General features: G+C 38.3%; 1 protein-coding gene across 1 annotated transcript in view; it reads right to left on the bottom strand.

Moving 5' to 3' along the window:
• MAP3K21 (mitogen-activated protein kinase kinase kinase 21) overlaps positions 1-15,585 on the bottom strand; it is a 57,425-nt gene that overhangs the window by 29,743 nt on the left and 12,097 nt on the right. Inside the window, exons 2-4 of the mRNA NM_032435.3 lie at positions 8,784-8,964; positions 1,451-1,599; positions 395-570 (exon numbers count right to left, since the gene is read on the bottom strand). Coding sequence (NP_115811.2) covers positions 395-570; positions 1,451-1,599; positions 8,784-8,964 — 506 coding nt within the window. The remainder of the gene's footprint in view (positions 1-394; positions 571-1,450; positions 1,600-8,783; positions 8,965-15,585) is intronic.

Below are 15,585 nucleotides of genomic sequence, written 5' to 3'. Positions count from 1 at the left end.
CATTCTGTATTTCAGGGAATGCCTATGACATACTTTGTATTAATTTCTATGCCAGCATGCCAAGAGATAATGGGGAAGGGAGACAAATAAAATGATAAAATAATGACAATAAATGAAGCTGATTAATGCATACAAAGTGTCCATTATGCTATTTGCTCTCTCTCTCTTTTTTACTTTGAAAATTCCTCTAATAAAAGGGTATTTTCCCCAATTATACATATTGAGTACCCTTCTGTTTTATTTTTGTTTTATTTTTAACCTGAAAGAAGGTGAGAATCAACAAATATTGATATCTAAAGATATTTTTGAATAATGCTAACAGTGCTTCTTGCCTCATATTTTCCATAGTTTTCATAAATTTGAGTACATTATGCTGTTTAAAAATTTCTCTCACCTTTTCCTTTGTTCTCAACTCATCAAACATTTGTTGAATTTCTAGTTTCCAGTCATCTTGCATGGAATGAAAAGATTCTTGAGGCATCTCAGTCATCACTGCCCCTTCAATAGCAGTCAACTGTTCGAGAATTAAGGCAAACGATGGACGAATATGAGGGTCTTGTTGCCAGCATTCTAAAATAAACAAAAATCACATTAATACCATCTCTCAACGCAGTTTAGAGTTGCTAAGAAATGTTTTACACTGAAGTGTATTTCAACTTAACATTTGTCATTCCAAACTGGAAGCTTCCATTTATAGTATCTGCTCCTGAAGATTTTAAGAATCCATTGGTAATAGTTTGAATAGTTTATTTTACATAGTGTCCATGTCACAGGCATGCATAATAATGACCATTAGAGAAGGCTGTTGCTGTCTATATTATACCGCATTTAATAAATGGACGTGTGCTTCCCATGCTTTACTATGGATACCATGTTTCAGGGGGTTAAGCCACCATAACCAGATCATTTACTGATATGGAGTCATGTAACTCAAACAAAGCCTCTAAAATGTTATATCCACATGAGAAGTTCTAAAAATCAAAAATAGCCTAACAATGAAGGAAGGCAACTTGCGGCTTACAAAAAGAGTTAGTTAACAATTTTTAAAGATAAGGATAAAATAGACATGATCCTGGCAAAATCACACCTGTTAAGACCATAAGGCATTTCTGATCACTAATTCAAATTTAAAATAGCAGATTTGGAGCCAATTCAATACTGTATTTGAACTCTACTCATGTACCTAGTGAAAATGTTACTACTTTTCAGTTGAGTTTTATACATAAATAAGTCACTGATAAAACTGGATTGTAGGTAAGCTACTTAGTTCTTCAAAACTTTACCAGACATTCCAGATCAAAGACTAGGTTTCCAATTCTTAAAATACTAGGGTTACTTAAAAGTACTTGGAAATTAGAGTCACAGAAAATGCTTTTTCTGTTTTTTAAAAAATGATATTCTAATGAGAAATTCTTGCCCCCACAAAGACACACACACACACACACAATACCTTTCATGAGCTTGGCAAACGGCTCAGGGCAGGTGGATGGAATGGGCAAAGTGAGTTTATTGACTGCTACCCCATAAGCCACGGCGAGGCCATCAATGCCCCGATAGGGGACTTCTCCGGTGAGCAGTTCCCACAGCAGCACTCCATAGCTAGAAAGCAAGGATTTCATATGCTCAATGGGCTAAACAGTGTCTTTTCCTTATGACACACTTAGTGAGATAAACCCTTCAGTACCTTCATCCATTCCTAATAGGACACTCTATTCCAGAAAAGCCCCTAAATGGCTGACATCCCAAGGTGGGAGGTGGATTCTTCCCATCAACAATTCAAACACATGTAAATACATTCCATCCCAGAAATCCAGTATGCATTCATTCTAGGAATTAAAACTACTTCATGAATAGGAAAGCGTAAGAGTAGTACACAATTGAATTAAACAGGGTCCAGAACCAGGTCACACTTTAGGAGTAATGTGGCTGTTTTCTGTTTCTCTTTCTATCTCATTTTTCCCACACTTAAATAAAACCTCTTGAGGATTATTAGGACACCAAAGAGCACAGCCCCACAGAGATCTCATGGTGCATGCCACAGGGCTGACATGGAATCATGTTGATTAACTATTTTTAAATAGTTTTTTGAAACTGTTTATCTTCCTGCCTCTCTATATTTAGATGTGTTACTAATGTTTCTACCATATTGCTGAACAGTAAAGAACAGAAAGACATCAGTGTGGGCCCCCTTACACCTGCTGGCAGGACATACGTCTCTTTTTTGTAATGGAGGAAGCCAGGGTGAAATGGGAATAAAAAATAAGGCACAACTGCAGTCCCTGAGTTCTCCAAAGCATCATCACATGTGATGCAGATACAGCCACAAACAAGAACAAGCAAAGGCACAGAAGAGGATTTCTACATGAATGTTTACCATGAAGAGCCGAATTTCACTACATATCCATACCACATCCATACCACAGACTGATAGCCCAAATTCAATTTAGTACACAGGGACATAGGCACGAGTCTTCTGCATTGTATATATTTATTCTCTTCTGCTATCCAAGTCAGTACCTTAGTTTTCTCTTATTCTTCTTCAAAACATAAAGTACACGCAGATATCTTTTGTTAAGTAAATTTAAAGAATGAGAGTCACTCCAGATGATTCACTTGACTTCAGATTGAAACACATAAGCATATAAGTAACACTGTCTTGTCAAAAGACACAAAATTGCCAGGTACAGTGGCTCACACCTGTAATCCCAGCACCTTGGGAGGCTGAGGTGGGTGGATCACCTGAGGTCAGAAGTACAAGACCAGCTTGGCCAGCATGGTGAAACCCTGTTTCTACTAAAAATACAAAAATGACCCGGGCATGGTGGTGCGTGCCTGCAGCCCCAACAACTCGGGAAGTTGAGGCAGGAGAATCACTTGAACCTCAGAGGCAGAGGTTGCACTGAGCCGAGATCACGCCACTGCACTCCAGCCTGGGTGACAGAGCAAGACTCAAAAAAAAAAAAGACACAAAATTACAGCCAGATAATAGGAATAAGTACCCCTGTTTTAACGCACTGTAGGATGGCTACAGTTAGCAATAATATATCATATAGTTTCAGATAGCTAGAAGAGAGGATGTTCCCAACACAAACAAATGATAAATGTTTGAGATGAAGGATATGCTAATTACCCTGATCCGATCACCACACATTGTATGTATTGGAACATCACTATGTACCCCATAAATATGTACAATTATTTCAATTAAAAAATAAAAATAGCTGGGCATGGCAGTTCACGCCTGTAATTCTAGCATTTGGGGAAGGTGAAGTGGGCAGAATGCTTGAGCCCAGGAGTGCAAGACCAGCCTGGGCAATATGGTAAAACTCGTCTCTAAAAAAATACAAAAATTAGCTGGCCATAGTGGCAGGTGCTTATAGTCCCAGCTACTCAGAAGGCTGAGGTGGGAAAATCACTTGGGCCCGTGTGGATGAGGCTGCAGTGCGCTGTGATTGCACCACCACAGTCCAGCATGGGTGGCAGAGCAAGACCCTGTTTCAAAACTAAATAAATAAAATAAAAATTAATTAAAAGGAACAGTCATATTTGGTTTCCTTTTAAATTCTACTAATATAACTAGTGAAGCTCTATTCACTTTCCTAATCTTTTAAAACCTCATTAGCTTTAACTTTTTTTAAAATGTGAAATGTAGAAGCCACTGAATTATTTCTTAAGTGTTGGTTATACATAACCTTTTTTTTTTTTTTTTGAGATGGAATCTCGCTCTGTCTCCCAGGCTGGAGTGCAATGGCGCGATCTCAGCTCACTGCAACCTCCGCCACCTCCTGGGTTCAAGTGATTCTCCTGCCTCAGCCTCCTGAGTAGTAGCTGGGACTACAGGCACCCGCCACCACACCCAACTAATTTTTGTATTTTTAGTAGACACGGGGTTTCACCATATTGGCCATGCTGGTGTCCAACTCCTGACCTTGTGATCCACCTACCTTGGCCTCCAAAAGTGCTGGTATTACTGCTCACAAGCTATTTCTCCACTAACAAGGCCCTTAAAGCTGATCTTCAGTGAACTCTTCTATCAAATAATAGTGAGATCCACTCTACCATCTCAAAACATTGTTTTATCTCAAAAAGGAAATATATAATATATTTAATGTACTACTTGTAAATTATACAATGCTGTAACTATTAGCTAAAGTTAAAATCATTATTTTCCAAAGCTTATGTGTTTCCTTTTGATAATTTTCTTAAAAATCATCTATATTATAGTTAATTATAGGAGACATCTTCATAATTTCAAAAATAAGTAAACTTAACTCATAGATCATTCAACAAAAACAAAAAAAACTTACATAGAATAACTAAAATTGTCTAAATTCAAAGAAATTCCTATTAACAAATAACAAAACTTAAAAAAATAGCAATATAACTCTGCTTCTTGCAAGTTTCAGGAAATGAATAATCTAGGATGGATCATCTTTCCAGAGAGAGGAGGGCTTATCCCATGAAAAACCAATGTGAAAAGAAATGTAACTTTTTCAATGGAACTACTTCTAAAGTATAGTACACATTTTTCTGTTCTCTTAAACCAGGTAGAAGATAGTATAATGAAACGCTCTCCTGAGAACTCAGAATTGTAATGACTCAGGGCTGTGAGTCGGGAGTCATGGATCTCAGCCCTGGACCTAAAATCTGCTTCTTAGTAGTTTTACAACTCTAAGCAAATTTCTTAACTTCTCTGTGCCTCGGCTACTTAACCTGCAAAACCAGGATAATAAGAGCTGTAAAAATTAGATAACAATATCTAAGTGCATAAGACAATTACTCTGTAGTACAGTAACTGTTAGAAGGAAGGGAGGAGAAGAGAAGAAAATCAAGAAATATAAAATCACCAATCCCTAGCACTGCATAGGTAAAGCCATGCTTTTTGAATGAAACTTTTTTTTATGGAAATATCATCGAAAGAGACTTTACAGCAATGGTATCTATAATTCAAAGAGATGACCTGCCCTGCTTTTGCCCATCCGGATATCCTACAATGTGCTTTTGTATATGAATGGGTTCCGGAGATATGCAGAAATGTTTGACCCTACAACTAAGCAGCGCCAGGGATCGGTAGTTTCTCAGTTTTTTTAATAATACAGTCAGCTCTCCACATCTGCAGATTCAAGCAATCACGTGTGGAAAATATTCAGAAAAAAAAACAACAAAAAATAACAATACAACTTTCGAAACAATACAGAACGACAGCCATTTACACCACATTCACATTGTATTAGGTAATAATAAGTAATCTAGAGATGCTTTAAAGTACACGGGAGGATGTGCACAGGCTATATGCAAACACTATGCCTTTTTATATCAGGGACTTGAGCTAATTAGAAGAGGGGAGAGGGATGCCAAGCTAGTAACGGGAAAAAACCTCAGGTGAAAAGTAGGTAATGGAAAGAAAAACATATTAAATACAGAGGACCATTTCTGTATTTCATCTTTCGCCTTTTTTTTTTTCTTTTTTGAGACAGAGTCTTGCTCTGTCATCAGGCTGGAGTGCAGTGACATGATCTCGGCTCCCTGCAACCTCTGCCTCCAGGGTTCAAGTGATTCTCCAGCCTCAGCCTCCCAAGTAGCTGGGACTACAGGCGTGCACCACCACACCCAGCTAATTTTTGTATTTTTAGTAGAGACGGGGTTTCACCATGTTGACCAGGATGGTCTCGATCTCTCGACCTTGTGATCTGCCCACCTCGGCCTCCCAAAGTGTTGGGATTACAGGCATGAGCCACCATGCCCGGCTGGTATCTTCTGCTTTTAATGAAAATCAGATCATCGCACTTTGTAAATAAATCAATTTTGAGAGGTGACTTCTCTAGAGAATGTGTGGGGCTTAAAGGCCCATATTTTGGTTGGTTTTAGCAACTTTCTTTTCCTTTTTTTCTCTTCTGCTTACTTCTTGATTCTCCCCTGTTTATGATAGACAAGGTTGCTATAGAGCATGACCGCACAGCATTCGTATACCTGGTAATTACATAGTTTCTAATAAAAGCATAGTTTGTAATAAGATCTCATAGTCTTAAGATACATTATTTTGAATGTAATTGATTTACGATGTATTTTAATAGTTTTTAGAGTCTTGAAGTATAATATCTTAAAAAGATAGCCAATGTCACTTATGTAATTTGATATTTTCATATGGTTAGAAAATTACTAAATTAAATTACTAAATTACTAAAATTAGTCATTAACTCAATGAAAACACATTTAACGGTTTATAAAAACACACACGCTCAGCCTTCACCAGTAGACAGTCTAATTCATCAAGGGGTGAGGCTCAAGCACTTGTATTTTTCAGACTGGCCCTAAGACACTATAGAACCCTGATCCAACTGATAAATTTCTTAGAAGCTTTAAGTAGAACAATTAAATCATAATTTTAAATGCAGAAGATAAGCTTTAAATGGAAGGCAGTTTTATGGAACTTTTACTGACAGGGGTCTCTGCCACTGACTTCAGCTGTGAATTTGAGGGACTAACTTCTAGTGTTTCCAAAGATTTAAAAGGAAAAACAATTTTTGTGGAGCATGAATCTGAGAGCCAGGCAGACCTGGGTTCTTAAAAGGTTCCGGCACTTACAAGTACTGGACTCTTAGCAAGTATTTCTCTCTCTCATTCCCAGTTTTCTTTTATGTAAAAAAAGGGAAAAAAAAGTAATAACAAAATCCTAAAATTGTAATTTTAACCATGAGATACCACTTTACACCTACAAGGACGGCCCGAATCAAAAGGTCAGATGACAAGTGACAAGGAAGATGGAGAGAAATCGGAACCCTGACACTCTACTGGTGGGAATAAAAAAAAAGAAGGTGCAGCCACTTTGGAAAATGGTCTAATGCTTCTTCAAAGAATTAAACACAGAATTACCATATGGCCAAGCAATCTCACTACTACTCCTAGATATATAGTCAAGGAAACTGAAAACACACGTTCTCACAAAAATGTGTTCAGGAATGTTTGTTATCAGTTCTATTTGCAGTCGCCAAAAATTGGAAACAACCCAAATGTCCATCCAGAGATAAATGGGTAAACAAGATGTGGTACAGTAATACTCTATGATTAAGCCATAAAAATGAAGGAGGTATTGATCCATGCTCTGACATAGATGAACCTCAAATCATTAGGCTCAGTGAAAGAAGCCAGTCACAAAGGAATATTCTAAGATTCCACTGACATAAAATGTTCAGAATAAACAAAAGTCAAGATACAGAACATAAATGAGTGGTTGCCTAGGGCTGAGAGGGAAGGGGGAGTTGGGGACAATAGGTAAGGGGTGACAGGTTTTCTTTCTGCATGAAAGAAAATGTTCTACAATCAACTGGGATGATGGACACACAACTTACTAATATACAAAATGCCATCAAACTGTACAATTTAAATGCATCAGTTTCGTGGTATGTGAATCATATCTCAACGAAGCTGTTAAAAACAGAAAAAAATGGAACTTTAATGATTAACGCAGGATTTTATTTTGTTTTTTTACATCTATCCTTTTTTAAATTCTTTCTCAACTTTTATTTCAGATTCACGGAGTACACATGCAGGTGTATTACCTGGGTATGTCGTGTGATGTTGAGGTTTGGGATACAAATGGTCCTGTCACCCAGGTACTGAGCATAGTATCCAAGAGTTACTTTTTCAGCCCTTTCCCCGCTCCTTCCCTCCACCTTCTCTTAGTCCCCAGCGTCTACTGTTGCCATCGTTATATCCCTGAGTACCCAATGTTAAGCTCCTACTTATAAGTGAGAACATGTGATATTCGGTTTTCTATTCCTGCATTAATTCACTTAGGATAATGGCCTCCAGCTGCATCCATGTTGCAAAGGACGTGATTCCACTCTTTTCATGGCTGTGTAGTATTCCATGGTGTACGTGCACCACATTTTCTTTATTAACAGGATTTTATGAGCACTAAACAATGGCAAGTAAGTTCTAGGTGCATCATAACTATTAAACAGTGTGATTTTTCTTTGTTATTTTGTAATTGTTAGCATCCTTCTAATGAGACAAAGCTGAATGGAAAGTCAAAATAACCTGGTAATCCATTTGAGTGCAGCTCCCAGTCTTCAAATAGGAGACTTTAATCTTTAGATGATGCAATCTATAAAATGAAGGATAGGTCTAAATTTTTTTCTTAAATTCCTTCCATGCTAATATTGCCTGTGAGTCACAAGGAATCAAAAGTTTGTTAAAAATGTCAATTCAGGCTGGGTGCAGTGGCTCACACCTGTAATCCCAGCACTTTGAGAGGCTGAGGTGGGTGGATCACTTGAGTCTAGAAGTTCAAGACCAGCCTGGGAAACATAGTGGACACTCTCCCTCCTAAACCCCCGCTCCTCTACACACACACACACAAATTAGCCAGGCATGGTAGTGCACACCTGTGGTCCTAGCTACTCAGGAAGCTGAGGAGGGAAGATCACTTGAGCCTGGGAGGTTGAGGCTACAATGAGCCATGATTGCATCACGGAAAATTCACTTTAATTTACTGGCGCATCCTACAAAATCTTGGGAATTTAGTGTTAATTCAAATTATAACCAGTTTTAACTAAACTTGTGATTTAACTAGAAAGTTCTCCTCTGAAATGGAGTCATATGACAATGCAAACATCAAATTATCTGTTCCGTTGTCATTACAATTATTTTGATCAAAACCATAAAAATTCATTCAAAAAGGCCTCGACTATTTATGCTGAGAATTACTGAATACTTTGGGACTTACTGAAATAAAGCATAGCAAGCAGTTTCTGCCGATGTTTGCAAAAGGAAAGGCTCACCTCCAGATGTCGCTTCCCTTAGAAAACAAGGAAGACTTGATCACTTCGGGGGCCATCCAGGCATAGGTGCCTGCTGTGCTCATTTTGGTGGTCCTGTGCCATTCCCTCGCCAACCCAAAATCTGTAATCTTCAAAGTTTTATTGCAGATGTCATCATGTTCTATCTTCTCAAGTAGCAAAACTAAAGAAAAATCAAAAGTGAGACATTTGCATATTCTTTTAATTTTTCTGTCACAATTTTTCTGTGGCATGTAAAACACAATCTTCACTGTAGTTGGCAGAATAAACAAGAATAAACTTGCATTTTACCATTTTACTTACAGCACAGATTTTGTAGTCTTTAGTGGGTTATCTGTGCCTGAAGTTACAAGTTATTTTAAGACACAACTTAGAGCTCTTTATGAGTAGTTCTCTTTCTGAGAAAGTAAATGATTTCTAAGAGCAAGAAACATTTCCTGAGATATCACAAGTAGGATCAGAAGTCTGTAAAAATTTACCTGATATGAAAAAATACATTATTTTCTGACCTAAGTACAGAATGTTTTCTACTGAAGTGGAGAATATTGAAATTAGATGATATATTACCATAGCTGATTATTATCAAACATTATCTTACATTAAATTTGCAAAGTGCTTATAGATTCTTTAACTGATAAAGATAATGTAGGAGATATAATTGCTTTACTGGAGCTCAAAATGTAGCAAAAAGTAAACACAGTGGTCATCCAGTTGCTGGTTTTCTCAATGCCAGCCTCCTGCCAATGTAGAGGATGCACAGGGGGAACTCCCGGGAGTGAAGCTGATGCCAGCATCTGTCCCTGAGCTCTTGTGTAGCTCTGCAACTACAACAAATGTGCTTTTATTATTATTATTATTATTATTATTATTATTATTATACTTTGAGTTCTAGGGTACATGTGCACAAGGTGCAGGTTTGATACATAGGTATACATGTGCCATGTTGGTTTGCTGCACCCATTAACTCGTCATTTACATTAGGTATTTCTCCTAATGCTATCCCTCCCCCTGCCCCCCATCCCATGACAGGCCCCCGTTTGTGATGTTCCCCACCCTGTGTCCAAATGTTCTCATTGTTCAATTCCCACCTATGAGTGAGAATATGCAGTGTTTGGTTTTCTGTCCTTGTGACAGTTTGCTCAGAATGATGGTATCCATCTTCATCCATGTCCCTGCAAAGGACATGAACTCATCCTTTTTTACGGCTGCATAGTATTCCATGGTGTATATATACCACACTTTCTTAATCCATTCTATCATTGATGGACATTTGGGTTGGTTCCAAGTTGTTGCTATCGTGAATAGTACTGCAATAAAGATACGTGTGCATTTGTCTTTATAGTAGCATGATTTATAATCCTTTGGGTATATACCCAGAAATGGGATTGCTGGGTCAAATGGTATTTCTAGTTCTAGATCCTTGAGGAATCGCCACACTGTCTTCCACAATGGTTGAACCAGTTTACACTCCCACCAACAGTGTAAAACCGTTACTATTTCTCCACATTCTCTCCAGCATCTGTTGTTTCCTGACTTTTTAATGGTCGCCCTTCTAACTGGTGTGAGATGGTATCTCACTGTGGTTTTGATTTGCATTTCTCTGATGACCAGTAGTGATAAGCATTTTTTCATGTGTCTGTTGGCTGCATAAATGTCTTCTTTTGAGAAGTGTCTGTTCATATCCTTTGCCCACTTTTTGATGGGGTTGTTTGGTTTTTTCTTGTAAATTTGTTTAAGTTCTTTGTAGACTCTGGATATTAGCCCTTTGTCAGATGGGTAGATTGCAAAAATTTTCTCCCATTCTGTAGGTTGTCTGTTCACTCTGATGGTAGTTTCTTTTGCTGTGCAGAAGCTCTTTGGTTTAATTAGATCCCATTTGTCTATTTTGGCTTTTGTTGCCATTGCTTTTGGTGTTTTGGTTATGAAGTCCTTGCCCATGCCTATGTCCTGAATGGTATTGCCTAGGTTTTCTTCTAGGGTTTTTATGGTTTTAGGTCTAACATTTAAGTCTTTAATCCATCTTGAATTGATTTTTGTATAAGGTGTAAGGAAGGAATCCAGTTTCAGCTTTCTACATATGGCTAGCCAGTTTTCCCAGCACCATTTATTAAATAGGGAATCCTTTTCTCATTTCTCATTTTTGTCAGATTTGTCAAAGATCAGATGGTTGTAGATGTGTGGTGTTATTTCTGAGGCCTCTGTTCTGTTCCATTGGTCTATCTCTCTGTTTTGGTACCAGTACCATGCTGTTTTGGTTACTGTAGGCTTGTAGTATAGTTTGAAGAGAGGTAGTGTGATGCCTCCAGTTTTGTTCTTTTTGCTTAGGATTGTCTTGGCAATGTGAGCTCTTTTTTGGTTCCATATGAACTTTAAAGTAGTTTTCTCCAATTCTGTGAAGAAAGTCATTGGTAGCTTGATGGGGATGGCATTGAATCTATAAATTACCTTGGGCAGTATGGCCATTTTCATGATTTTGACTCTTCGTATCCATGAGCATTTCATTCACTCCTCACCTGCACCCTCCTACCTGGCCCTTCCAAGCACCTTCAGCTCCTCTCCCTTTGGCTGATCTGCCTCTGCCTAGAACCATGCAGAAATGTTCCCTAGGTTGTCCACGAGGCTCTAATGCAGCTGGAGGCTGCCACCCTCTCCTCTAGCTAATCCCTTCTATAGAAAGAGGAGAGGGTATCTGGTTTGCAGAACATAATCATAAAGAGGGTCATTTTTTTCAAATGTTAGTTTTAGTAAAAACTAACACTCCTGAGTATATTCTACCTGTCAGGTGAGGTTGTAGGTATTTTAATTACATAACCCATACGACAATGCTATAGGTAGATACTATTATCTCCACTTCATACATAAAGACACTGAGGAACAGAGATGTTCAGTAATTTGTCCAGGGTCACAGAGCTAAGGAGCAGTGAAGCTCAAGCAGTCTGACTCCAGAGCCTATGGTCCTAACCACTATGTACTCATTTAGTTGACAGCTTTTACTAATTTTTCACAAAATCTTTATTTATCCTTTGGAAATCTCTCTCTACTCAGGTGCCCATTCTCCTCCCTTTTGATTTCCTGCCATTGGTCAATTATTAACTGATCTAAATAGAGGCAGTGTAGAGTGGTGAGGAAATGCATGCAGTCTAGGGCCAACCCGCCTGGTTTGGATCCCATGTGCTTCTGCTTCCTTGCTTGTCTTGTGAATTACCATAGTACCTACATCATAAGATTGTAGGGAGGAGTAAATGAATACATGTGAAGTGCTCAGAACAGTGGCTGAGACATGGTAATTACTCTATAAGAATTTCACACACACACACTTTTATTAATGGGTTTGAAAGTGTTTTTAGCAAGCCTTCAAAATCAATTTCATGAACTTCAGGAAATCCTGCCTCTTTTTCAAGGCTTGAGATTTCACAATGGATGTGCATTTTGATTGTATTACATTGTCAAACATTTATAATATCAGGCAGTCATAGGAGCTAATGCAATTGGAGGGAACCCAATTGGAGGAAACCAACACTAGGTTTAAATGTGGAGGGTTATTTGAGTAGGGGCTTATTAGGTAAGTAATTGATACTGAATAAATACTGTTGGGTTACAACTTTTTTCCCCGTGTCATCTTGTAACTGAAATTTAGAGAGCAAGAACCATCTCTTCTATTCTTATTTCCATTATAGATATGAAGAATCCGATTTAGGATGGCTATATGTCCATGGTTACACAGTGGCTAAACAGTAAGGCCAACATGCTACCATTCTTACTCTTAATGCTATACTACATGGGGAGGGATGGAGAAAAGGAGGGTGAGAGAGGCAGGGAGGAAGGAAATCAGAGACCCACTTCCATTTGAAATAACCTTTCATTCTTCCTATCCATCTATACTGTCCCAATTTTCAAGGACCAGCTTCCTTAGAAAAACCCCCTAAGCATTCCACAAAATTGTGAATGATTTTATCTTCCCTATCATTTGCTACTCACATATGACATTATTTTGTCAGTTATCTTTTTACCTAAGACTTCTCTAACAAAGCTATGTACAAGCTACTTTAATCGCAGGAAATGTATTTTATAGCATTCTGCGAATCCTCCATATCGCCTAACATAGTTCCTTGTACATCACAATGTTCAATGGAATATCTTTTGTTAATGATACTTATCACCAATTCAAATAATAAGAATATTGCCCACCATTTACCAACCCTCTGCTATGCAGAGTTGTTTCCACACATTTAATATTTCATTTGATTGTGACACTAGTCTACCAGGCAGGAATATAATCTCCAGCTCAGAGCCTAGAAATGTTATCCAAGATCAAAGGGCTGAAACACAGAGCTGGAGCTCATCCCCAGCCCTTTTCTGTTCTGCTCAGAAGCTATTGGTTATAAGAAGAGGGCAAAGCAACCAGAAATCTCATTCTGTGAGATTAATTTTTGAATGTTCCATCCACATCAGTTAAAGGTATATTTATTTCTCAGTCCTTATTCCCTATGAATATAAAGAAAAATAAATACCTACAGAAAAAGAGATTTAGATCCCCAATCCTTTAAACCCTACATACTGAAACCACAGAAAGCTGAAACAACAACAACAACAAAATACAGGGGAATTAATTAGCTTTTTTTTTTCATCAGCTGCATTATGTTTTCCTTCTAGAAATACCATTAATTTCACCTTTAAACAATAATTGTTCCTATCACCAAAAGACCCCAAATTAATGATCAAAATGGCTTGCAGTTCTATAAAACTTTGTTTCTCAAAGCACTTTTATACACATTATCTCCTCATTCTTACAAACCTCCAGGCAGGCAGACATGAGAAACGACTGATGAAAATAGGCCTCAAAACACTTCCTTGCCTCCTTATCCACACCCAGACCCCAAGTAAGGGCTGGCAGCCCTTGCGATGCAAAGGTCAAAGAAAGTCTGCTCTAAATAATAAAAACAGAGTCAAAAGTGAGAACTAAAAACCAAACACTAACAAACTTCATTCCCAAATAAACGGATGGCAGCGTATGATATTAGCAGACTTGGTTCTGACAGTTTCAGAACACCAGCCCCCATTCCCCAGGTCCAGAGTTTCCATAGGAGCCAGGCACCTCCACACTGCAGGCTCACGGAAAACAAGTTCAAATCACACTCCAAATGTCAACCCTTTAGGGTACCATGAAAAGCCCATTGTTTTGGATTCCATCTCAGAGGTGTTCAGCAGAATTCCTGGAATTCCATATCTTTTGGACAAAGTGACTGAAACCAAAAATAGCCCATCTCACAACAGGTAATATAATGGGGCACACTGCCAGGTTTCAGCCTAAAGACACATGGTTGGCAGCCAACTTCCGCTTCCTGTCATTCACGCAGGAAGAACCACAGTGCACTAGCTGGTCACCACTGATTTTAATGTACAAACCAGGCAAACTAACCTTTTTGGCCACAGAAATGGTAAATTCTTGTGAGTATCCTAGCAACAACTGTTTGAGCACCCTTTCCTGTGACTTCAGTAAAGATTTTTGACCCTCGTTAGCCCCATTCTTTAACAATTGGCCTCTACAACCTTGTACTTAGCCTACTTATTCAACCATGAGGCACAGAATTTTTTCAGCTCCTTTGAAGTTTCACATTGGTATTTTCAGAATTATAGTATATAATGTATATTTTTAAAAAAGCAATTATTATGTACATCATGTTCTCAACATTGATGGGATCACTGTGTCCAAATTATTTAATGAGTCAAATGAGTTTCGATTAATCTTTAACTGGAAATGTATTATCCAAAAAAAGTCATAAGCAAGAAAACAAGTTGAGAAAAGCAATAATGTGAAAGAATATATTAACAAAAAACTTCATGAAACTTTATAAATTTCAACTTTGAGGACAATCCACAATTTATATGGAATGAATGATAACTTTCTCAATTTATCACATAGCATAGAATGTTTCTCATATTTCTTTTCACCCATTTCCTAGTGGCACCAGTTCCCCTTCACCCCTAGCACCATCTGCCTCCCCCTTCCCCTGACTCCCACCCCGGACACATACCCCACTCACTATCCAGCCTAGGGAGTAAAGCCCACACTTTCATTTTGGCCTCCGTCCCTTCTCAATCTCATTCTAAATGATCCTTCCAGCTCTCTTTTGTACTCTCCTGAATGAACCCTATATTCTAACAATTCTGTGTGCCATTTCTAAAATCTACAGCATTGCCTTTTTCTGTCTCCCCACTGCCCTGTGCCTCCTTACAGAATGGAATGCCTTCCTCTTCCGCCCTCTATAAAACTCACACTTCCTACTGGACCTCCCACTCAATCAGGGCACCAGCACTGAGCTCTTAGTCCAGGCTGCCATGGCATTAACTGTGAAGCCACTTACAAGTCCACTGGCCTTTGGAATCTGGACACTTCCTGCTCCAATATTAGATGAGTCTATAAGCAACATCTCCCCATTGCCTTTTGCCTAACCTCAGCTACTTCTCTGCATTCTAATACACTTAGACTGTACCTTGCCCGTTACACTTAAATCCTGCCTTATCTTCCTTATTACAATTTCATCTTATTAAATTGTAAGCAGCTTGAGGATAGAACTTGTGCCTAATTAATCTTTTTTTTTAATACTGCACAGCAACTGGCATTTTAACAGGCTCAAGTGTTTGCTGAATGAATGAGGAAATTAATAATGAATACTCTTAGGGAAGAATGAATATGAAGAAGATGAATTATTATAAGCTTTTTCTTTCATGTTAAGTCAGCTGCTAATTACAGAAAATCGATTCACCTCTACCCTCCTAAAAA

The sequence above is a fragment of the Homo sapiens genome, chromosome 1 (assembly GCF_000001405.40).
Source record: "Homo sapiens chromosome 1, GRCh38.p14 Primary Assembly".
Classification (NCBI taxonomy): Eukaryota; Metazoa; Chordata; class Mammalia; order Primates; family Hominidae; genus Homo; species Homo sapiens.
The sequence above is the reverse complement of the archived record's forward strand: the minus strand, read 5'-3'. Positions and strand labels throughout refer to the sequence as shown.